General features: G+C 39.4%; 1 protein-coding gene across 3 annotated transcripts in view, besides 1 other annotated feature; it reads left to right on the forward strand.

The window, feature by feature from the left end:
- Positions 1-26030, forward strand: part of IL15 (interleukin 15) — a 97405-nt gene that overhangs the window by 46246 nt on the left and 25129 nt on the right. Inside the window, exon 3 of one of the 3 annotated variants that reach the window (NM_172175.3) lies at positions 5994-6207. The exons of the other annotated variants lie outside the window; for them this stretch is intronic. The gene's annotated coding sequence lies outside the window, so the exon portion shown is untranslated. The remainder of the gene's footprint in view (positions 1-5993; positions 6208-26030) is intronic. 3 annotated transcript variants of the gene reach the window in all.
- Positions 24715-25215: an enhancer, noted in NCBI's record as "H3K4me1 hESC enhancer chr4:142628696-142629196 (GRCh37/hg19 assembly coordinates)". NCBI's record gives its function as "activates a minimal SCP1, AML or CMV promoter by ChIP-STARR-seq in primed H9 embryonic stem cells {active_cell/tissue: H9 hESC(primed)}" and the evidence as "EXISTENCE:reporter gene assay evidence [ECO:0000049][PMID:30033119]".

The following is a 26030-nucleotide window of genomic DNA, read 5'->3' on the forward strand; positions in this document are numbered from 1 at the left end:
GCGCCTGTAGTCCCAGCTACTTGGAAGGCCCGGGAATGGCATGAACCCGGGAGGCAGAGTCTGCAGTGAGCCGAGATCACGCCACTGCACTCCAACCTGGGCGACAAAGCGAGATTCCATCTCAAAAGAAAAAACAAACAAACAAACAAAAAACAATAGGGGCTGGGTGCGGTGGCTCACGCCTGTAATCTCAACACTTTGGGAGGCTGAGGCAGGCGGATCACGAGGTCAAGTGATCAAGACCATCCTAGCCAACATGGTGAAACCCCGTTTCTACTAAAAATACAAAAATTAGCCCGGCGTGGTGGCAGGTGCCTGTAGTCCCAGCTACTCGGGAGGCTGAGGCAGGAGAATCACTTGAACCGGGTAGGTGGAAGTTACAGTGAGCCAAGATCATGCCACTGCACTCCAGCCTGGCGACAGAGCGAGACTCCATTTCAAAAACAAACAAAAAACAATAGGCTGGGCGCGGTGGCTCATGCCTGTAATCCTAGCACTTTGGAAGGGCAAGGTGGGTGGATTGCCTGAACTCAGGAGTTTGAGACCCGCCTGCGCAACACGGTGAAACCCTGTCTCTACTAAAATACAAAAAATTAGCCTGGCATGGCGGTGTGCACCTGTAGTCCCAGATACTCGGAAGGCTGAGGCAGGAAAATTGCTTGACCCTGGGAGGCGGGGGTTGCAGTGAGCCGAGATCGCGCCACTGCACTCCAGCCTGGGTGACAGAGTGAGATTCCGTCTCTAAAAAAAAAAAAAAGAAAAAAGAAAAAAAAACAATAGTGGACTGTTTCTCCTCTTGTTTGTTATAGTAACTGCACTGTGCGAACCTGGAACAAGTCATGTAATAACTTTTGGCTCACTTTTATCTTGTCCATATATTAGGAAAACATTCTCAAGTGTAATTTCACATTATTATTAGAATAACAGTTATTTGAAGATGGAGATGATGTTAAAGATACAGAAAAGAGCTTTAGGTCGGGGAGAGAGCAGTACAGATGTTCTGGGGAAAAATGGCATTGCTCACATCTACTTTTATCTACAGCAAGGATTCTAAAGGGATTTATAACCCAAACATATTGCGAATGGATTTGTAGAGAGATTAATAACTAGCTTTAGTAGACAGGCTGAAATGTAGACACAATATGAATACTTGATACATAGCAGGGTTTTCTTCGCCAAAAATACACTTATGGAAGCAACAGTAACAGAGAGTGCTACAATGCAGGTGAAAGACCCTGTTGGGGATATGTGTTGGAGAAGCTGGGAGATTTCATGCTATGACCTCAACTAATTACGACCCAGCCTGTACCCAGACAGCTAAAAATTAACACAGAAGTTTAGCATGTAATCAACTATAAATTCTCACTCTTCAGTACTCAGTAGTCTTTTTTTTCTGTTAAAAGATTGACCACTGATGACCAGGAATTGTAAATGAATTTATTCAAGTAGAAGGGCTATTTATCAGATTAGGATCTTAGTTTATCTAATAGGTAAACGACTGGTCTGAGTTTTTATACTAGCTGATGTTAAAAAGTGATGTGTAAATTTTTTTTCTCTTCAGTTATGTATTTAATTACTGACTAATCCCTGTCAAGTATAATTGTTAGGCAGCATCACTGTCTAAGAATCTAAAGTGATATCCCATTGCCGAGCAAATCATATCAGATTCCTCCGTTTGGCTTTGAAGGACACATGCAATCTGGCTTCAACCTGCCTATCCACATGTATTTCCTTTGACTTCCTTCAATACTTTTCATTCAGTGGCACCTCTTAGGTTTTCTCATACTTGCTATTATTATTTATGCTAGGTCTATATTAGCTTGGAATATCCTCCTTCTTTCTATTCAAACTTTATCCACTCTTCAAAACTAACCTCAATTACCACCCATTCCAAGGCCTTCTCCATTTGCAGCAGTGTTGATTCAGTATTATTTATTATTTATTTTTTCATTTATTCACAATAACTCAACAAATATTGAGTGTCTTCTATGTTACAGATGCTGTCCTCACCTAAACATGAATTTTTATTGCATGTAGAGTCATAACCAAGTAGTATACTGAGTTTGTAGTTTAATATTTATTGTATCTCCTCTATAAAACTGAGCTTACAGTGGCAGTGATTATGTCTTTTTTTTTTTTCTTTAACAAAGAGGTCATGAAATAGTGTAAGTCAAAACCAAGTAGGGAATTACAAGGCTGATTTGTATTTCCTCTTGGCTACTACTTAGTCATTCGATGATTCAAATCAATGGACATTTATTAAACTTCTGTCATGTACGTTGCGATGTTATACACTATAGGAGATACATAGACAATCACTTAATAGAGTCAGTATTCCAAAAGAGAGAGTCTCTATTTGAGGTCCTAGGACCCCCCTAGAGAATTCAATGTTTTAACTTCAGAGGATTTTATCTAAAGTTTGGATATGTGCTTATATGCATTTTTCTGAGGAGAGGGTGCATAGTTTTTAGATGTTAAAGATGTAATTGATAATTTTTTGAAAAGGTTGAAAAGCTCATGATCTCAGTATGTATGAAACAAGTACACAACTAAAGAACAAGAGTCATAAAAGAGCAACAAACCCTAAGCTGTGTTTAGAAAGAGGTAAAATGATATCTGACTGTGGTCATTTAAGGAAAAACTTCCTGAAAGAGATGACTTTTGGAATATATGCCATGCATTTTTTGGCCTCAGCTCCCTCATGGAAAAAAAGGTAGATTATAAAATCTCTGCTATTTTTTCCGAGATACAAATTTATTTCTTGATTCAATCACCAAGTGCTCTTCAGAATGCCAGTGACATCATAGGTACTCAGAAAACATCTGTTAATTGGTAAATCTGAAATTAAACTTCAGAAATTTATAGCTACAAATATATCTATTGAGTTGAAATTTTAGAATATTATTGCATTAGCTTCCTAATGTTCCATGAATGAAAAGATTTATCAGATGTTTATATACCATTAATCACAATCTTCCACTTGGCAGATCAGAATGTTTAATTCATTATTTCTCCTTCATTTCTTCATAACATTTAAAAATATCTTTGTATTTTGTTATTCTTACTGTTACAGCCATTGGGGTCGCCTCATTAGTCTTTATGATTTGTAGGGGCAGGAACTCTCTTAAACCTGTTTGATATTATTTAGAACCTAGCACATCCCCCTAATCAAAAAGGGGCACAGTAGGCTGGGCGCAGTGGCTCACGTCTATAATCCCAGCATTTTGAGAGGTCGAGACGGGCAGATTACAAGGTCAGGTGTTCGAGACCAGCCTGGCCAACATGGCGAAACCCCGTCTCTGCTAAAAATAAAAAAATTAGCCAGGCATGGTGGTGGTCACCTATAATCCCAGCTACTCAGGAGGCTGAGGGAGGAGAATCGCTTGAGCCCCATAGGCAGTGGTTGCAGTAAGCCGAGATCATGCCATTGCACTCCAGCCTGGGCAACAAGAGCAAGAGTTCATCTCAAAAATAAATAAATAAATAAATAAATAAATAAATAAATAAATAAAAGGTGGGAGGGACACAGTAAATATTGAATCATAAATGAAAGGCTGCATATCAAGGTGCATCAAAATAATAAATTTCCTATTTCATTATCGTCCAGAATTTAAAGAGCATGAGCCCAGAAGTGAGACCACATGTTCAAATCCTGACACTGCCTACTCCTCTGTGAGTCACCTTTGACGAGTTCCTTAAATTCGTCATTCTCAGCTTTCTTGTCTGTGGAGTGTGGTAATGACAGTGCCTACCTCATACGGTTATTGTGAGCGTCAAATTTAGTGCTTGGCAAAGTGCCTAACACATCATAGGCAAGAGAGAATCCAGGTTCGTAGGGCCTCAAGCTTTTACAGTGTCTGAGCTCTCTTTAAGAAAATGAATTTCAAACTATGAATTCAAAATTAGCTAATTAGAACATTTTAAAGGTATGTCTGTAGAGTGGGAAATTATAGGCAACAAAGGTCTGAAAAATACCCCAGTTATCATCAAATATTATTGTTACTAGTAATTTCCTGGTTCATTATAATACTTTATTTTCTACACATTTTTAGATGCATACACTCAGATTTCCTTTTTCAAATAATAATTTTAAATATTTTCTATAAAGAGAATAGAAAGAAAATTCATTCTTTAGCAAAGGGGATTGAAATTTATTAATTTTTTATTGTTGCTGGTTTAGGAAGTATTTATTTACTTAATTCATAACATATTACTGGAAATGCCACATTCTGACTTCCTCCCTGGCTTTTTGCCCAGGAAGTTCATTGTTTGGAAGGAAGCCTTAGAGAAGTTCAGGTTTTGGGTCTCACTTGGCATGGTCTCAGACAGGCCAGTGCCTTGGCAGTGGCTCCATCCTGGCAGCCTCCTCTTGATTCCCCATCTTCATCCTTGTAAGCAGGGCAGGTCTTTCTGTGAGAGATGAGGGGAGGAAGTAGAAAGTAGCCAAGAGCCTGGGAGATAGTGGTGACAAAGCTTTGCTTTTACATTATTAGGGTCACAGGTAAGGTCCAAAATCTCCCTGAAGTCCACTGGGGTTAGGTTGTCATTGAAGTGTAGATAGATTTAAGGAAATGCTGGCAGCCTGCCTGCTGACAGCATCTGCTGCAAACTCAGGATGATTTTTAGGAGGTAGAAGGTGAGGACAGGCTAGGACCACTCTCCACACCTCCACTAAAGGCCTGAGGCTATTACTTCCTCAATATAGGCAGTGCAGGTGAGGAGCTCTGAAGCCTCAACTCCATTAATTCCATGGTAAAGCTGCTTCTGACTTGTAAGTGCTCAGTAAATTAGCACTTACCCGAATTGTTTTACTCTTTCATTGGCAAATTATTTTTCATTAAAACCCTAGGAATTTTGCAGTGAATGCCTTTTTAAATTTTATTTTATTTTTAAAAAATTTTTGCAATAATTGTGTTTCTCCTCTTTATTCCAAACAGGACAGAATTCTAAATAACCCAGCCTTTTACTAAAGTGAATTTGAAATGAGTTGTGATAGAGCAAGTTTGTTTAATACCTCATGATCATGTTAAGATCTAATCATATTGAGAAAAAAATGCCATATTCATTTCATTCTTAAATATCATTTCTAGTGGATACCGTTCTGTGTCCCTAGATCCTTTCAGAGATGAAGAATTTGTTATCCCAGTTGTTGGGAGTGCTGCTTGCTACTTGTCAAGACGACAGTTCTCTCTGGGACAAGTTCTTTTTGTGCAAGATCACAGCCACTCCCTAAGGGCAGCTTACACCCAGCGTTTCTTTAATAGGAGTGGAGTAGGGTTGTTTACAAAGGCCCTGGTCTAGTGCACCCCCTGAAGGATCATCCTAGCTTCAGAGTTCCACAAAGTCTGCCTAGTGACAGAATAGTGACCTTACTTCTCCACCCTCTGACCAATTTACGTATCCTCCCTTCCCTGACATGTAGTGACCCTGAAAACTTTTTCCAGTATACCTTGTGTACATAAACCAGTCTCAGAGTCTCATTCTTAGAGACCACTACCTGAAGCATTTTCAAAATTTTCAAGAGGCAATAATGTGTTAAATAACAGCTTCTCTGGGGATGAGGGAGGAGATCGCTTTAAAAACGTGATCCAATTCCAGAAATGTTCAAGTTGAAAAAAATCTTACATTCAAGAAAGTGTGCTATCAGAGTATACAAGAGTGCTATAATTGCTGTATGTTAGCTGTGACCAATAACCTGAAGCAATTAGAAGCCTTTCACTGAAGCCACTATCTATAGAAAGGTTAAAGATTGTTGTTCTTTCCTTTTCTCAGTGGAATTTTCTCTTTATATGCTCTTTTGGCTTGATCTCTTTGGAACTCATGGTTTTAGACCATTGCATTATATATCTCTAGTTCTGCCATCTCTTGAGCTTCTAATTTACATATTCATCTGTCTGCCAGAGTCCTTTTGTTGATATCCCACCAGCCTCCCAAACTTAACATGTACAACACTGAGTTAACTTTCCCTCAGATCAGTCCTGTCTTGTTTACAGTTTCAACTAGTGGCCCCACTGTGTCCGGAATTGATGGGTTCTTGGTCTCACTGACTTCAAGAATGAAGCCGCGGACCCTCGCGGTGAGTGTTACAGCTCTTAAGGTGGCGCATCTGGAGTTTGTTCCTTCTGATGTTCGGATGTGTTCGGAGTTTCTTCCTTCTGGTGGGTTCGTGGTCTCGCTGGCTCAGGAGTGAAGCTACAGACCTTCGCGGTGAGTGTTACAGCTCTTAAGGTGGCGCATCTGGAGTTGTTCGTTCCTCCCGGTGGGCTCATGGGCTCACTGGCTTCAGGAGTGAAGCTGCAGACCTTCGCGGTGAGTGTTACAGCTCATAAAAGCAGTGTGGACCCAAAGAGTGAGCAGTAACAAGATTAATTGCAAAGAGCAAAAGAACAAAGCTTCCACAGTGTGGAAGGGGACCTGAGCAGGTTGCCACTGCTGGCTCCGGCAGCCTGCTTTTATTCTCTTATCTGGCCCCACCCACATCCTGCTGATTGGTAGAGCTGAGTGGTCTGTTTTGACAGGGCGCTGATTGGTGCGTTTACAATCCCTGAGCTAGAGACAAAGGTTCTCCACGTCCCCACCAGATTAGCTAGATGCAGTGTCCACACAAAGGTTCTCCAAGGCCCCACCAGAATAGCTAGATACAGTGTTGATTGGTGCATTCACAAACCCTGAGCTAGGCACAGGGTGCTGATTGGTGTATTTACAAACCTTGAGCTAGATACAGAGTGCCGATTGGTGTATTTACAATCCCTGAGCTAGACATAAAGGTTCTCCAAGGCCCCACCAGAGTAGCTAGATAGTGTCGATTGGTGCATTCACAAACACTGAGCTAGACACAGGGTGCTGATTGGTGTGTTTACAAACCTTGAGCTAGATACAGAGTGCCGATTGGTGTATTTACAATCCCTGAGCTAGACATAAAGCTTCTCCAAGGCCCCACCAGACTCAGGAGCTCAGCTGGCTTCACCCAGTGGATCCCACACTGGGGCTGCAGGTGGAGCTGCCTGCCAGTCCTGCTCCGTGCGCCTACACTCCTCAGCCCTTGGGTGGTCGATGGGACTGGGCGCCGTGGAGCAGGGGGCGGTGCTCATCGGGGAGGCTCGGGCCTCACAGGAGCCCATGGAGGGGGTGGGAGGCTCAGGCATGGCAGGCTGCAGGTCCCGAGCCCTGCCCTGCAGGAAGGCAGCTAAGGCCCGGCGAGAAATCGAGCACAGCGCTGGTGGGCTGGCACTGCTGGGGGATCCAGTACACCCTCTGCAGCCGCTGGCCCCGGTGCTAAGTCCCTCATTGCCCGGGGCCAGCACGGCCAGCCGTCTGCTCCGACTGCGTGGCCCACCAAGCCCATGCCCACACGGAACTCCAGCTGGCCCGCAAGCGCCGCACGCAGGCCCGGTTCCCGCTCGCACCTCTCCCTCCACACCTCCCTGCAAGCTGAGGGAGCTGGCTCTGGCCTTGGCCAGCGCAGAAAGGGGCTCCCACAGTGCATCGGTGGGCTGAAGGGCTCCTCAAGTGCCGCCAAAGTGGGAGCCCAGGCAGAGGAGTCGCCGAGAGCGAGCGAGGGCTGTGAGGACTGACAGCAGGCTGTCACCTCTCACCACTACCCTGACATTTCAAATAATAAAACCTATTAGTCATCCTAGATTCTTTCTTCTCCCTTGTCCTGCATATCCAGACAGCCAACAAGACCTGATAATTTTCCTATGAAGTATTATTCCAATCAGTTTCCTCTTTGCAACTCCTATTGCTACTTTCTCGATTTAGGTTCTTATGCGGACTACTACAATAATAATTGACTTGTTTTCCTACCCTAAGCCTTGCTTCCTTTAAGCCCTCTGCATAGTGGTCCAGATACTCTACATCAAATACAAATTCGATCATGCCATTACATGCATGAACACAATGAACAGCAACTTCTCCTGTCAAGAAAGACTCTCCATGACATACTCCTATTTTTTTCATTTTCCATATTACCGCCACTCCCTTTATCCAACTTTATGTGCTAGTAAAATTGAACTGCTTGGAGTTTACTGGTGTGCTTCATGTTTCATGCCTCTGTGCCATTGCCCATTATTTCCACTCTGCCAGGAAAGCGCTTTTCTTCTGTATTAGATTAACTTTAATCATTCCTTTAAGATGATTTATTTTTATCATCTCTAGGATGTTTCTTGCATCTAAAAATCCTATAATACTGTATTAATCAATTTTCATACTGATATAAAGATACTACCTGAGACTGGGTAATTTATAAACATAAGAGGTTTAGTTGACTTGCAGTTCTGGGGAAGCAGGCACCTTCTTCACAAAGTGGCAGGAGCGATAGAACATGCAGGAGAAACTGCCAATTTTAAACCATCATATCTCATGAGAATTCCATCACTATCATGAGAACAGCATGGGGGAAATTGCCCCTATGATCCAATCACCTCACACCAGATTCCTCCCTCAACATGTGGGGATTACAATTCAAGATGAGATTTGAGTGGGGACACAAAGCCAAACATTATCATTCTGCCCATAGCACTGCCCAAATCTCATGTCCTTTTCCATTTTGAAACCAATCACACCTTCCCAACACTCCCCCAATGTGTGAACTCATTCTGGAATTAACCCAAAAGTCCAAGTCCAAAGTCTCATCTGAGACAAGATAAGTCCCTTCTGCCTATGAGCCTGTAAAATCAAAAACAAGTTAGTTATTTCCAAGATAAAATGGGGGTTCAGGCATTGGGTAAATGTTCCCATTCCAAATGGGAGAATTTGGACAAAACGAAGGGGCCACAGGTTCCATGCAAGTCCAAAATCCAACAGGGCAATCATTAACTCTTAAAGCTCCAAAATGATCTCCTTTGACTCCATGTCTCATATCCTGGGCAGGCTAATGCAAAGGGTGGGCTCCCAAGACCTTGGGCATCCCTACTGGGTCTGCAGCATACAGTCCCTTTAGCTGCTTTCATGGGCTGGCATTCAGTACCCATGGGTTTTCCAGGATCATATTGCAAGCTGTCAGTGGATCTATCTTTCTAGGTCTGGAGGTCAGTGGCTGTCTTCTGACAGCTCCATTAGGCAGTGCCTCAGTGAAGACTCTGTGTGGGGGCTCCAACCCCACAATTCCCCTCCACCCTGCTCCAGCAGAGGTTCTCCAGGGGCTTTGCCCCTGCAGCAGACTTCTGTGTTGATGTCTAGGCATTTCCATACATCCTCTAAAATCTAGGCAGATGCTCCCAAAGCTCAATTCTTGTCTTCTGTGCACCTGCAGGCCAAACACCATGTGGAAACCACCAAGGCTTGGGACTTGCACCCTCTAAAGCACGGCCCAAGCTGTGCCTTGGTCCCTTTTAGCCACAGCTGGAGCTGGAGTGGCTGGAACACAGGGTGCCATGTCCCGAGGCTGCACAAAGGAGTTGGGCCCTGGGCCTGGCCCACAAAACTGTTTTTATTTTCCTAGGCCTCCAGGCCTGTAATGGGTGTGGCTGCCTTGAAGATCTCTGAAATGCCTGGAGACATTTCCTGCATTGTCTTGGCAATTAACTTTTGGCTGTTTGTTACTTAGGCAAATTTCTGCAGGCTTGAATTTCTCCACAGAAAGTGGGTTTTTCTTTTCTACCAAATGGTCAGGCTGCAGATTTTCCAAACTTTTATGCTTTGTTTCCCCTTTAAACATAAGTTCAATTTCAAACTATCTCTGTGAGAGCACATAAATACACTTTCAGGAAAAGCCAGGTCACCTCTTAATGCTTTGCTGTTTAGAAATTTCTTCTGCCGGATACCCTAAATCAACTCTCTCAAGTTCAAAGTTGCACAGATCTTTAGGTCCGGGGAAAAATGCCACCAGTGTCTAAAGTGACCTTTACTCCAGTTCCCAACAAGTTCTTCATCTCCATCGAAGATCATCTCAGCTTGGACTTCATTGTCCATATCACTATCAGCATTTTGGTCAAAATTATACAACAAGTCTCTAGGAAGTTCCAAACTTTTTCACATCTGCCTGTCTTCTTCTGAGCCTCCAAACTGTTCCAACGTCTGCCTATTACCCAGTTCAAAAGTCACTTCCACATTTTCAAATTATCTTTGTAGCAGTACCCCCATCTGCCAATTATCTGTATTAGTCCATTTTCACACTTCTACAAAGGTACTACCTGAGCGCCACTGCACTTCAGCCTCAGCCAGGGGAACAGAGCAAGACTCCGTCTCAAAAAAAAAAAAAAAAAAAAAAAAAAGATACTACCTGTGGCTGGGTAGTTTATAAATCAAAGAGGTTTAACTGACTCACATTTCTACGTGGCTGGGGAGGCCTCAGGAAACTTACAATCATGGCAGAAGGCAAAGGGGAAGCAGGCACCCTCTTCGCAAGGTGGCAATAGAGACAATGCAGGAGAAACTGCCACTTTTAAACTATCAGATCTTGTGAGAGCTCCCTCACTATCCCGAGAACAGCATGAGGGATACTGCCTTCATGGTCCAATCACCCCCCACTGGGTCCCTCCCTCGACACATGGGCATTACAGTTCGAGATGAAATTTGGGTGGGAACACAGAGCCAAATCATATCAAATACTATGTGTTGCTTATCTATAAATTCCTAAAGGACAGGAACCATGCTCATTCACTTTTGTAACCATAGTGCCTGACACATACGGGATATTCAGTAAATATCTGCTGAACAGAACTGAATAATTAACACTAATAGGTCCCTAAATCTCTTTGCACTTACTGACTTATTTCTTATTTGGTATATTATCAATTTTTCCATGATTGTTTCTTTAAAAATTAATGAATTTATGATTTATTTATACAGTAAATATTTATTGAGTGGTAATTGTATGAAAGATACTTCTAGATAGTGGGAAAACAAGAATAACAAATCAGTATTAAATGATTTAGATACACATTTGTTGGATAAATAAGACAATTTCATTAGTCATTTGAAACAAAAAAAATTAGTGAGCCCATACTCTGTTCCAGGCACTACTCTGGAAGGAAGAAAATTCTGGGAGGAGAGGAAGGAGGTAGCACATATAGACTATTTTTAAGAGTTTTTTGATTGTACTGAAGACAGAAAGCTTAGGCAGTAGTTGGAAGAATTGGTGAGGTCAAGAGTTTTTCTATATGAGAGAAATAATTGTATATAGGTATTACTGATATGAATGATCCAGCAGTGTCAGAAAAACTGGTGATGTGGGAGACAGTGGGTTCAATTAATGGAACAATGGTGTTGAGAAAGTTTAAAAAGGCAAGTATTTACTGCACCAATGGATGGTTTTACCTTAGGTAGTGGCACAGTTTATCTATGGTTGTAAAGGGAAAACAGAGCAGATGGACACAGATACAAGGAGATGGAAGATGTGGAAGTCCTCTGGTGAGTCCTGTTTTCTAGGTGAAATAAGCAAGTGATCATCCACACGTGAACGTGGAGAGTATTGGTTTAAGGAAAAAAGAGAAGCAGAGCGATAGTCACCTGAGAAAATTACTGGACTATTAAATGTAATAAAATAGCTGGGCATTATTAAGGGTTGGTTCTCTTGAGGTTAGAGATCATGAATTGAAAGTGAGCTTCACCATTCAATATATGGTATTTCTCCAGGTACAGTCTGATGCAGGGGTAAGGTCACAGCAGGCAGAGAGGTGAGCTTAACCAGGTCAGATACTTTATCAAGTAATTTCAATGAAGGAAAAAAGAGGCAGTGCTGTTGAATCTGGTTGCAAGGGAGGTGGTACATGCTTATATTTAAGATCATGGAAGGCCTGCAATAGAAATAACTGGAGAAGCCCAGGGCTCAATTCTTAGACCGTCTTTTTCCTCCTTCCTTTGCTAGGTGATCTCATCCAGCCTTGAGGCCCTGCAAATCATCAATAGGCAGGTGTATTTCAAATTTATAACTCCAGCCTGGACCTCTATCCTGAAATACAGCCCCCTTCTCAACATCTTGATAAAATTGGATATCTAAGAGGCATGAGACTTTCAAAAAACTCTGGACTTTTCCCACAGACCTGGTACTTCCATGGTTTCACCCATCTTAATAGATGGCAGCCCTGCTCTTTTGGTATCTCAAGCCAAAACCTTCAGAGCCATCCTTTAGGCTTCCATTTCAAATGTAATATCTAATTAATCAGCAAATCCTACACCATCAGAATATACCCCTCTCTCCATGTCCATTACTATTTACTTTGGATTACTGTAGCACCTTCCAATTTGTCTCCCTGTGCCCATGCTTGTCCACACAAATAGTTCCTCAATATGGTAGCCCTGGTGTGCTTTTTAAAATTTAACCCAATTTATCTTCTCCCCACTCTCAACATGCTTTAAATGGGTTTCCCAATTAAGTCCCAGGTTCTTACCTGATGGCAGCCACCCCTATCTAATTTTAACTTTATACTCTTTGGCCAACTTCTCCCAATCCTTCTAAGCCTCTTCTCCCTAGTCTCTCTTCTGCTCTGCTTCTATGATACCTTTTTTTTTTTTTTTTTTTTTTTTTTTTAAGATTCCACATATGAGTGAGATTATGTAGTACTTGTCTTTCTGTGTCTGGCTTATTTCACTTAACATGATGTCCTACAAGTTCACATGTTCTCATAAATGACAACACTTCATTCTTTTTATGACTAAATAGCATTCCATTGTGAATATATATCACATTGTATTTATCCATTCATTTAGTTGGAGACTTAAGGTTGTTTCCACATTTTGGGTCTTGGAAATAGTGCTGCGATAAACATGGGATTTCAGATATCTCTTTGATATATTTATTTCATTTTCTTTGGATGTATACCCATTAGTTGGATTGCTGGATCCTATGGTAGTTCTGTTTTTAATTGTTTGAGGAACCTCTATACTGTTTTCTCTAATGGCTGTGCTAGTTAACAATCTAACCAACAGTGCATAAGTTGTGGCCTCTCTTCACACCCTTACTAACACTTGTTTTGTCTTTTTGATAATTAGAGACTTTTGCCCATTTTTCAAGTTGTATTGTTTCTTCAAATTTGAGTTGTTTAAATTCACTATATATTCAGGATATATACACTATATATTCAGATGGGTAGTTTGTAAATATTAATATTTTCTCCTTTTCTGTATGTTATCTCTTCACTCTGTTAATAGTTTCCTTTGCTGTTCAAAAGCTTTTTCATTTGATATAATCTCATTTTCCTATTTTTGCTTTTGCTGCCTATGATTTTGAAGTTATTTAAAAATTATCTTTGCCAAGCCAAATGTCATGAAACATTTCCCCTATATTTTCTTCTGGTAGTTTCACAGTTTTAGGCTTTACATTTAAGTATTTAATTCATTTTGATTTGACTTTTGCATATAGTCTAGTCTTATTTTTCTGCATGTGATGATGCAATTTTCCAGCACCATTTATTGAAAGACTGTCTTTTACCCAATATATATTCTTGGCACCCTTGTTGAATATCCGCTGTAGGCATGTGAACTTATTTCTGGGTTTTCTACGCTGTTAAATTGGTCTATGAGTCTGTTTTTTATGCCAGTATCATGCTGTTTTGGTTACTAGAGCTTTGTAGCATATTTCAGGTAGTATGAAGAACCTCCTACAATATTCTTTTTGCTCTGAATTCCTTTGGCTATTTGGGGTGTTTAGTAGTTCCACATGAATTTTAGAATTTCTTTTATATTTATGTGAAAAATATCATTGGTATTTTGATACGTATTCCATTAAATCTGTAGGTTGCTTTGGATAGTATGGTCATTTTAACAATATGAATTCTTCTACTTCATGAACACTGGATAGCTTTCCATTTTTTCAGTGTCTTCACATTCGTTCAGAAAAGGTTTATAGGTCTTAGTGTATGGAATTTTATTACTTTCTATTTTTATTTCAATAGATTTTTGGTAACTGGTTTTTGGTTACAATGATAAGTTCATTAGTAAGGTGTAAGGTGGTATCTCATTGTGGTTTTAATTTGCATTTCCCTGATGATTAGTGATGTTGAGCATTTTTTCATATGTTTGCTGGCCATTTGTATATCTTCTTTTGGGAATTATTTATTTTTGTCCTTTGCCCACTTTTTGATGTGATTATTTGTTTTTTTCTTGCTGATTTATTTGAGGTCCTTGTACGTTATGAATATTAGTCTTTTGTCAGTACATAGTTTGCAAATATTTTCTCCCAATTTGTGGGTTGTCCATTTACTCTGCTGATTATTTCTCTTGCTGTGCAGAAGCTTTTTAGTTTAATGAGGTTCCATTTATTTATTTTTGTTTTTGTCGCATTTGCTTTTGGGGTCTTAGTCATAAATTCTTTGCCTAAGCCAATGTCTAGAAGTTTTCCCAATGTTGTCTTCCAGAATTTGTATGCTTTCAGCTCTTAGATTTAAGTCTTTGATCCATCTTGAGTTGATTTTTGTATAAGGCGAGAGATGAGGATCCAGTTTCATCCCTCTATATGTGGTTTGTCAGTTTTCCCAGCACTATTTATTGAGTAGGATGTTCTTTCCCCAATTTATGTTTTTGTAAACTTTGACAAAGATCAGATTGCTGTAACTATTTGGCTTTATTTCTGGGTTCTCTAGTCTGTTCCATTGGTCTACATGCCTATTTTCATTCCAGTACTATGCTGTTTTGGTAACTATATCCTCGAAGTGTGATTTGAAGTCAGATAATGTGATGCCTCCAGATTTGTTCTTTTTGCTTAGTCTTGCTTTTGCTATGTGGGTTCCTTTTTGGTTCCATATGAATTTTAGGATTGTTTTTTCTAGTTCCGTGAAGAATAATGATGGTATTTTGATGGGAATTGCATTGAATGACCAGATTGCTTTTGGCAATATGGTCATTTTCACAATATTGATTCTACCCATCCATGAGCATGGGACCTGTTTCCGTTTGTTTGTGTCATCTATATTTCTTTCAGCAGTGTTTTGTAGTTTTCCTTGTAGAGGTCTTTCACCTCCTTAGTTAGGTATATTCCTTTATTTTTTTTTCAGCTATTATAAAAGGGGTCGAATGACAATTCAATCGATGTCTTCTTTACCAATTTGGATGCCCTTTATTTCTTTCTCTTGTCTGATTGCTCTGGTCAGGACTTCCAGTACTATGTTAAATAGAAATGGTGAAAGTGAGCATCCTTGTCTTGTTCCAGTTCTCAGGGGGAATGCTCTCAATGCTTTTCCATTCAGTATTATGTTGCCTGTGGGTTTGTCATATATAGCTTTTATTACTTTGAAGTAAGTCCTTTTTATGCCTATTTTGTTCAGGGTTTTAATTATAAAGGGATGCTGGATTATATCAAATGCTTTTTCTGTGTCTATTGAGATGATCATATGGTTTTTGTTTTCAACTATGTTTATGTGATGTATCATATTTATTGACTTGCATGTGTTAAACCATCCCTGCAACTCTGGTATGAAATTCACTTGATCATGATGTATTATCTTTTTGATATGCTGTTCAATTTGGTTAGCTAGTATTTTATGAAGGATTTTTGTATCTATGTTTAACAGGGATATTGTTCTGTGGTTTTCTTTTTTTGTTTTGTTCTTTCTGGGTTTTGGTATTAGGGTGATACTGGCGTTATAGAATGATTTAGGGAGGATTCTCTCTTTATCTTTTGGAATAGTTTTAGTAGGATTGGTACCAATTCTTCTTTGAATGTCTGATAGAATTCAGCTGTGAATCCATCTGGTCCTGGACTTTTTTTTTTGTTGGCAGCTTTTTTTATTACTGATTCAACCTGGCTGTTAGTTATTGGTCTGCTCAGGGTTTCTATTTCTCCCTGATTTAATCTAGGAGGGTTGTATATTTTCAGGAATTTATCAATTTCCTGTAGGTTTTCTTGTTTGTATGCATAAAGTTGTCCATAGTAGCCCTGAATGATCTTTTGTATTTCTGTGGTATTGGTTGTAATATCTCTTGTTTCATTTCTAATTGAGCTTAATTGAATCGTCTCTCTTCTTGGTTAATCGTACTAATGGTCTATCCATTTTGTTTATTTTTTCAAAGAACCAGCTTTTTGTTTCATTTATCTTTTGTATTTTTTTCTTTCATTTTCATTTAGTTCTGCTCGGATCTTTGTTATTTTTTTTCTTCTGCTATGTTTGGGTTTAGTTTGTTCCTGTCTCTTAAGTTCCTTGAGGTGTGATATTAGGTTGTTTATTTGTGCTTTTTCACTTTTTCATGTAGGCATTTAATGCTATTAACTTTCTTCTTAGCACTGCTTTTGCTGTATCCCAGAGGTTTTGATAAGTTGTGCCACTATTATCATTCCTTTCAAAGGATTTTAAAATTTCCATCTTGATTTTATTGTTAAGCCAAAAATCATTCAAGAGCAGATTATTAAATTTCCATGTATTTATAAAGTCCTGAGGGTTCCTTTTGGAATTGATTTCCAGTTTTATTCTACTGTGGTCTGAGAAGATACTTGATATGATTTTGATTTTCTTAAATTTAATGAGAATGATTTTGTGGTTTATCATATGGTCTATCTTGTAGAATGCTCCATGTGCTGATGAGAAGAATGTATATTCTGTGGTTGTTGGGAAGAACTTTCTGTAAATATCTGCTAAGTCCATTTGTTCTATGGTATAGCTTAAGTCCATTATTTCTTTGTTGACTTTCTAACTTCATGATCGACCTAGCGCTGTCAGAGGAGTATTGAAGTCCCCCACTATTATTATATTGCTGTATATCTCATTTCTTAGGTTTAGTAGGTATTGTTTTATAAATTTGGGAGCTCCATTGTTAGGTGCATATAAATTTAGGATTGTAGCATCTTTCTGTTGGACTAATCTTTTATCAGTATATAATGTCCTTCTTTGTCTTGTTTTACTGTTGTTGCTTTAAAGTCTGTTTTGTCTGATGTAAAAATAGCTACTCTTGTTTTTTGTTTCCACTTGCATGGAATATCTTTTTCCACCTGTTTCCCTTAAGTTTATTTGAGTCCTTATGTGTTAGGTGCATCTCTTGAAGACAACAGATATTTGGTTAGTGGCTGTTTTATCCATTCTGCTATTCTGTATGTTTTAAGTGGAGCCATTTACATTCATCATTAATATTGAGATGTGAAGTACTGTTCTATTCATCATGTTAGTTGTTTCCTAGATACTTTCTTTTTTATTGTGTTATTGTTTTATATACCCTATGAGATTTATTTATTTATTTTGAGATGGAGTTACCCTCTTGTCGCACAGGCTGAGGTGCAATGGTGTGGTCTCGGCTCACTGCAATCCCCATCTCCCGGGTTCAGGCGATTCTCCTGCCTCAGTCTCCTGAGTAGCTGGGATTACAAGCACCCACCACCATGCCTGGCTAATTTTTGTATTTTTAGTACAGATAGGGTGTCACCATGTTGGCCAGGCCAGTCTCGAGCTCCTGACCTCAGGTGATCCATCTGCCTCAGCCCCTCAAAGTGCTGGGATTATAGGAGTGAGCCACTGTGCCTGGCTGAGATTTATTCTTTAAGGAGGTTCTATTTTGGTGTATATTGAACTTTTGTTTTAAGATTTAGAACTTCTTTTAGGATTTCTTGTAGTGCTGGGTTGGTAGGGGCAAATTCCCTCAGTGTTTGTTTGTCTGAAAAATACTTTCCCTCTCCTTCATTTATGAAGCTTAGTTTTGCTGGATAAAAAAAGTCTTAGCTGACAACTTTTTTGTTTAAGAAGGTTTAAATATAGGGCCCCAATCCCTTCTGGCTTGCAAGGTTTCTGATGAGAGATCTGCTGTTAATCTGATAGGTTTGACTTTATAGGTTGCCTGATGCTTTTTTCTCACAGTTCTTAAGATTCTTTCCTTTGTCTTGACTTTAGATAGCTTGATGATGATGTGCCTTAGTGATGGTCTTTGTGCAATTAATTTCCCAGGAGTTTTTAAAGCTTCTTGTATTTGCAGGTCTAGATCTCTAACAAGGCCAAGAAAGTTTTCCTCAATTATTCCCTCACATAAGTTTTTCAAACTTTTATACTTCTGTTCTCCATCCAGAGCACGATTTATTCTTAGGTTTGACCATTTTACATAATCCCATATTTCTTGGAGACTTTGTTCATTAAAGAAAAATTGTTTTTGTCTTTGTCTGATTGGGTTAATTTGAAAGCCTTGTCTTTGAGCTCTGAAATTCATTCTTCTATTTGTTCTAGTCTATTGTTGAAACTTTCCACTGCATTTTGTATTTCCATGGCATGTCTTTCATTTCGAGAAGTTCTGATTTTTTTAATGATATCTATTTCTCTAGAAAAATTTTCATCCATATTCTGGATTATTTTTGAAATTTCTTTAAGTTGCTTTTCACCTTCTCTGGTATCTCCTTGACTAGCTGAATAGTCAACCTTCTGAATTCTTTATCTGGCATTTCAGAGATTTCTTGGTTTGGATCCATTGCTGGGAGCTAATGTGATCTTTTGGGGGTGTTATAGAACCTTGTTTTGTCATATTACCAGAATTACTTTCCTAGTTCCTTCTCATTTGGGTAGACTATTTCTTTAAATTGTTCTTGAATTTATTTTTGATGGGACTGAGGTTTTTTTTTTTTATTTTTTCCCTCTTAAGGATCTGACTTTAATGTTTATATTTTATTTTAGCCTAATTTAATTCTTGGTGCTTTTAGGGTGAAGACTTTGTATGAGTTCCTTAGTTATAGAGAGACGTTGTGTGTTGGTTTTTCCAAATGTTGTTTGTAGTAGTTATGTACTTGTTGTGTGGGCAAGTTCACTGTCTCCTATGGAGTTGGAATGGCAGGGATCTCTTGAAGTTTGTCTCATTCTCTTGTGATGTATACTTTATTTATTTAACTTTACTCCAGTATTTTATTTACTGAGTTGATGATTCAGGCTTCAGTCCAATAGGAGAGGTAGCCCTTGGTAGTCACTGGTTGTAGCTAAGGCAGGTGGGTACATGTAATCCTCAGTGGTGGGCAGGGATCCCAGCCTTGATGAAGGTGGCTAAGGGAGTTCTCAATTAGATGTCCTGAGGTTGTACCAGGATGAAGGGTGTGAGCTACCTCAGTTCCCCTGCCAGGCCAACAGAAAAGTTATCCACCTCATAGCCTCACTCCTGTACCAGTGTTCTGGCTATTCAGATCATACGGGCACCTCTTTTCATGTGTAGGAATGTTGATGCTCCAAGTAGCGGGGAATTGTGACCTTGCCTCTTATGCAGGCCTGAATATGGAGAGTACTCCCCCTGTTGGGCTGCAATCACCATGAATGGTTCCAGGAAGGCTGTCTATAGACGCATATACACTGCATTCTTGTGATAGAAACTCCAGTTGTGTCCGCAGTGATGTACCAGGGTTGAACAAGGATCTCTTCTCCAAGACCCTTCATGATCACAGAGGCTGCCTGCCTGTTGGGGTAGAGGTGCTGACTTTCTCTATTGTGCCCAGCTCTGCACTTGGGTCACTGCTGAAAGAAACATTCCACCAGTGGAAAGATCTGGGACTCAAGCCTGCTGTTCACACTCTTTTGTTCCATGGGGTGTTCTCTTGATATGGTGTTCTCTCCCTTCCCCTAAAAATGGGACTTCTTGAGAGCTGTACTGCAGTGATTACTATTGATCTTCTGGGTCTAGCCACCCAGTAGGGCTACCAGACTCTGGGCTGGTGATGGAGAATGTCTGCAAAGGATCCAGTGATGTGACCTTTTTTCAAGTCTCCCAGCAATGGATACCAGCACCTGCTTTGAATGGAGGTGGCAGGGGAGTGACGTAGACTGAGATTCCTTGGTTGTCAATAGGCTTAGTGTGCTGGCTTTCTTGAATGCTGGTTATACTAATAGTGAACTTGTCATGTGGACAGACTCAGGACCCCTGGATAGCCAGGGTATTGCAGGCAGTGGTGTAAGCTGAGATCCCACAGCTGTTTTCTCCTTCCTGAGAGCAGTGATATTCTGCTGAGAGGTATTGTGATGGCCTGAGTTGGCTGGCCTCCAGCCAGGAGGTGGCGCTTGCAAGACAGCATCAGCTGCAGTAGCAGCAGTGGGATTTGAGCTTGCTTTAAGTTGCCCAGGGGAATTATTCTGGTTTCTTAGGTGATGGACAGGGCTGTAGAGCTCCCAAAAGTTTATGTTATTTGTGTTCATCTACTAGGATGAGTGGAGAAATATCACCAGGTGAGGGCAGGGTTAGGTGGGTCTGAGCTCAGACTCCCCTTGGGTGGGGCCTGCCGCAGCCACTGTAAGAGGCATGGGGTGGTTTGCAGGCCACTAGGGTAATGATCCAGAGGTGAGTATAACTGCCTCTGCTATGCAGAAGATTTCACAAAGGGAGTGGGGAGTAGCCGGCAGCAGTAAGCCTCATCCAGCTCCTTGCAGTTGGCAAGGCCAATCTCACTCCTGAAGTGTCCTGCTATCAGCACCAGGTTTAGGTCCACATAACATATGCACAGAACTCAGACCTGCCTGAGGCCATAAGCTTCCCTGCAGAAATAGCAAGCATGACTTTTGGGTCACATCCCTCCTCCTCTCGTCTGCCCTCAAGGCTGGTCAGCAGTGCTCTTCCCACTCGCCACCAAGTTCTGTTGATGGGTGTACATCCCTACTCAAAATTATATCACAAATTCAGCTGGGAGCTTCTTTTACCCTGTGACCCCTCCCTGAGCTCATTGGCTAACTTTCTTGAGGGCTCCTGTGAGATATAGTCAGGAATGGCTTTCCTTGGTTCATACTAGAGACTCAGAATACCTGCAAGGCACTTCCTGCGACTGCTTCTACTTTTATTTTCACGAGGCTCCCTAAATTTGTTCCAGCTCTTGGTAGCATTAAGGCCTTCTCCTGTGGCCTGGATTTTCAGATTCCTTAGTGGGGATATGTGCTCAAAGGTAGAATCTCCCCGTCTCATACTCTGGGAACTTTTATTTTTTTTCCTATCTCATGGAGTAGGCTGCAGCCTATCACTTCTTTCAAAAGGTCTGTGGATTTTTCCAGTTTTCCCAGTGGGAGAGGCATGCTAACACTGCCTCCTATCTGCTATCTTGAAAAAAAAAAAAAAAAAAGGTGTATAGATCATTCACTTCCTTGGTTAAGTTTATTTCTAGGTATTCGATTTTTTTAATTTTTTGTAGCCATTGTAAATAGGATCCCTTTTTGATTTCCATTTTAGCTAATTCATTATTGGTGTATAGAAATGCTGGTGATTTTTAAATGTTGTTTTTCTGTCCTGCAACTTTACTGAATTTGTTAATTTTAAAAGTTTTTTGATGAATTCTTTAGGGTTTTTAATATATAAAGTTTTATCATCTGCAAACTGGGACAATTTGACTTCCTCCTTTCCAATTTGGATGCCTTTTATTTATCTGGCCTAATTGTCCTGGGTAAGATTTCCAGTACTATGTTGAATAGAAGTCATGGATAGGCATCCTTGTCTTGTCTTTAATCTTAGAAGAAAAGCTTTCAGCAATTCCCCCTTCAGTATGATGTTAGCTGTTGTTTTGTCATATATGACCTACTGAGATACATTCCTTCTATGTCTAATTTTTTGAGAGTTCTTCACATGAAGGAATGTTGAAGTTTTTCAAATGCTTTTCTGCATATTATCATCTGGATTTTGTTTTTCTTCCTGTTAATGTGTTGTACCATATTTATTGATTAGCTTGTTATACCATGCTTACCATGCTTGCATCTCTGGGATGAATCCCACTTAATCATACTAAATGATTTTTTTAATATGCTGTTGGATTCAGTTTGCTACTGTCTTGTTAAGAATCTTGTGTCTATATTCCTCATCAATATTGACCTATAGTTTTATGTTTTTGTTGTATCCTTGTCTGGTTTTGGAATCGGATTAATGCAGGCATTATAAAATAAGTTTAAAAGTATTCTCCCATCTTCAATTTTCTTCAGTAGTTTGAGGAGAATTGGTGTTAGTACTTTATATATTTGGTGGAATTCAGCAGTGAAGCTTTCAGGTCCTGGTCTTTTCTTTGATGATGGAAGACTTATTAGTGATAATAATAAATAATAATTTATATTAATTGTTATTAATTTCTTTACTCATTATCAGTCTGTTCAGATTTTCTATTTCTTGGTGGATTTTCTATTTTAATTTTGATAGGTCATATGTGTCCAGAAATTTATTCATTTCTTCCATGTCATCAATTATTTTGGTGTATACTTATTCATAATAGTCTCTCATGATCCTTTGTATTTTTGTAGTATCAGTTGTTATGTCTCATTTTTCATCTCTTATTTTATTTATTTGAATCTCTCACTTGTTTTTTACCATAGGTAAAGGTTTGTTGATTTTTATCTTTTTAAAAAGCCAAATCTTTGTTTTGGTTTTTATATGAATTCATTTTTTTGTCTGTATTTTATTTGTTTATGTTTTGAATTGTATTATTTCTGTCCTTCCTTCTACCAATTTTGGGTTTAGTTTGTTCTTATTATTTTTAGTTCCTTGAGGTGAATCATTGGATTGTCTACTAGAAATCTTTCTTCTTTTTTGGTGTAGGCATTTACTATTTTAAACTTCCCTCTCAGAGTTTCTTTCACTATGTCGCATAGGTTTTGATATGATGTGTTTCCATTCTTGTTTGTCTGAGGGAAATTTTTTTTCACTTTTACTTCCCTCATTGACCCATTGGTTATTTAAGAAAAAGTTGTTTAATTTCTATGTATTTTTAAATTTTCTGAAGTTTTTATTTTAGTATTGATTTCTAGTTTTATTGCATTATGGTTAGGAAAGATACTTGATATGATCTCTATCTTCTTAAAAATTTTAAGACTTGTTTTGTGGCCTAACATGTGATCTATCCTAAAAAATGTTCCATATGCAGGTGAGAAGAATGTGTACTCTGTCGGATGCAGTGTTCTATAAATGTCTGTTAGGGCCATTTGGTCTATGGTATAATTTAAGTCCAATGTTTCTTTGTTGATTTTTTGTCTAGATGATCTGTTCATTGTTGAAAGTGGTATATTGAAGCCCTCTACTATTATTGTATTGCCCTCTGTTTCTCCTGTTAGGTCTAATAATATTTGCTTTAGATATCTGGGTGCTCTGGTGTTGGGTGCATAAATATTTATAATTGTTACATCCTCTTATTGAATTGATTTCTTTATTTTTATATAATGACCTTCTTTACCTCTTTTTACAGTTTTTGACTTGATGCCTATTTTATCTGATATAAGTATGGCTATTTCTGCTTGCTTTTTGTTTCTGTTTGCATGGAATATCTTCTTCTATCCCTCCACTTTCAGTCTGTGTTATGCTTGTTGGCAGCATATAGTTGGTTCCTTTTAAAAATTCATTCAGCCACTCTCTATCTTTTAACTGGAGAATTTAGTCCACTTATATTCAAGGTTATTATTGATAGATAATAACTTACTCCTAACATTAAAAAAATTACTTTCTGGTTATGGTTATTTCGTAAATGTTTTGTTCCTTTCTTCCTCTTTTATTGTTTATCTCTGTGGTTTGGTGGTTTTATGTGTTACTAAGCTTGGTTTCTTTTCTCCTTCTTGTTTGTATATGTGTTATATCTTTCTTTGTGGTTATTATAAGGATAAAGGGTACTGATGGTTTATTTAAATCTGATAGCAACTTAATTTTGTTCACATAAAAATACTCCAGATGTTTTCTCTTTTCTTTACTATTTATATATTTGTTTCCTTAATTTACTTCTTTACCCATTATGTAGCTGTTGTAATTTTTGACCGTTTTGATTTAAACCTTCATACTAGAGGATTAAAAGATTTGCATAACATTACAGCGCTAGGATATTCTGAGTTTGATTTATGAATTTACCTATACTGGTGAGCTTTATATTTTCACACGTTTTTATTATAGTAATAATGAGCCTTTCATTTCCAATTGTACCACTCCTTTAAGCATTTCTTGTAAGATCAGTTAAGTGGTGATGAATCCCGTCAGTGTTTGTTTGTCTGGGAATGTCTTCATTTCTCCTTCATTTTTGAAGGATAGCTTTGCTGAATATAGTGTTCTTGGCTGATTTTTTTTTTTTTAATTTTCAGCACTTTGAATATGTCATGCCATTCTCTCCTAGTCTGCTGAAAAATCTGATAGTCTAATAGAGATCCTTTTGTATGTGAGTTAATACATTTGTCTTGCAGCTTTTAGAATTCTTTGTCTTTGACTGCTGACAGTTTGATAATCATGTGCCTCAGAAAGGATCTTTTGGGGTTCAATTTAATTAGGGACTTTTCAGCTTCCTGAATCTAGATGTTTGTATCTCTGAATACTTGGGAAGCCTAAAGCTATTATTTCTTAAATACATTTCCTATGCCTTTAAAAAAATTTCTTCTTCCTCTGGCATTCCTATAATGTGAATATTTGTTTGCCTAATTGTATCCCATGTATTCTGTAGGCTTTCTTCATTCTCTTTTGTTCTTATTTCTGTGTTTTTCCTCTGACTGGGTTATTTCAAACGCCTGTTTTCTAGTTCAGAAATTCCTTCATGAAAGATCTAGTCTATTGTTAAAAATTTCACTTGTATTTTTTAAATTTTCATTTATCAAATTTTTCAGCTCCCAGATTTCTGTTTGGTTCTTTTAAAATTATATTTATATATTATGCATTTCTCATTCCAATTATTGATTGTTTGTCTGTGTTCTATTGTATCTCACTGAGCTTTTTAAAGATCATAATTTTTAATTATTTTTTAGGCATTTCATAAGTATCATTTTACTTGGGGTCTTCTACTAGGATTTATTGTGTTCCTTTGGGGGTATCATGTTTTCTTGCTTTTATTATATTTCCTTTGTCTCTGCATTGATACTTGTTCATATAGTAGAATAGTTTTTGTTTCCAATTTTATGGAGTAGCTTTTTCAGGGAGAGACATTTCCTGTAGATAAATCCTAGGGTATAAGTTCAGCATGGTGAATGGCTTTGATTCTGGGTGGACTCAGTAGCACGGTATCTGTGCAGTTTCTTTGGCTGTAATACTCATCAGTGGTGTCTGTGATTGACTCAGTGGTCTACGCTGTGAGAGCTTTTGAGGTAGTGGCATAGTTTTCTTGGGGTGGGAGCACTGGGTTGGTTTTCAGGTTGGGCATGTGGGGGCACAGAGAGCTGACAAGCTGTCTGGCTACCTCTCCAGAGAGTCAGTGGCTACTGCTGTGCTGGCTGTTGGGCCAGGCTTGAGCTTACAGAGATGCTGCCAGCAAGGTGGCTGTGTGGCTTTCTTTTCAGTGAGGCAGGGCAGCCACCAAACTAGATGAGCACAGCAATGCCAAGCATCCCTGTGGCAGTCTGTTGGAGAGGCAGAGCTGCTGCAGGACTGGATGTCGGGCTGCATGTGAATGTTTGTGGGTGCAGCAAGGCCATGCAGCTCTGCAGTGGCCTTTCATGGGAGTAGGTTGCCACATGACCACTTGCCAGGCTGGGTGCAGGCACATACATGCTCAGAGTGCTTGCTGGCTGTGAAGCACAGGTATGTGTTGGTAACATGGCTAGTGGCTGTTTGGAAGCTTCCCTGCTGTGCATATCTGCCTGTTCCCTGAGATAGTGGTGTGCCATGTGAGTTTGGACACTGGGGTCTTGGTCATTATGACATGCCTATGCTCTAGGTAGCTGAGTTTGTGGTGGTGCAAGCATTCATGTGAACATAGTGGAATGAGAGCAGGGCCTCAGGGATGGAGACAGTCAGTTGCTATTGGCTCCTACTAGTGGGTCTGGTTTTAAGAAGCCATTGAGCTCTATCATCTTAGGCCTTAAGGGTGGGAGGTGTTCAAGGTGGGCTCCTACTGTGAGGCAGTGCAGCTGTACAAACTTCTGGCTAATCTCCAAACTGGATTCAAAACCTATAAGGACCAGGAGACTCTCCTGCAGCAAGGATTTCTGGCATGTGTGGTAATAATTGGGACTGCTGGGGATTTAGAGCTTACCTTTACCCCATAAGAAGAAGTCTCCCTGACTCTGAGCTAATTCTGGTGAAGATGACATTGTGGCAGAAGTGGATTACTTGCTCTCCTCTCTATGGTGCTATTCTCGCCTTCTGTGCTTCACAGGGATGTTGCCACTGCCAGGGTGCTCTCCAGCATACTTCCTCAGTCACTCCAGTCAAATTATAGATGTTTATTCACTGTTTTGATCCCTTTTAGTTGGGGGAACAAGCACCAGGTAACTATAGTCAGTCATCTT

The sequence above is a fragment of the Homo sapiens genome, chromosome 4, assembly GCF_000001405.40.
Source record: "Homo sapiens chromosome 4, GRCh38.p14 Primary Assembly".
Classification (NCBI taxonomy): domain Eukaryota; kingdom Metazoa; phylum Chordata; class Mammalia; order Primates; family Hominidae; genus Homo; species Homo sapiens.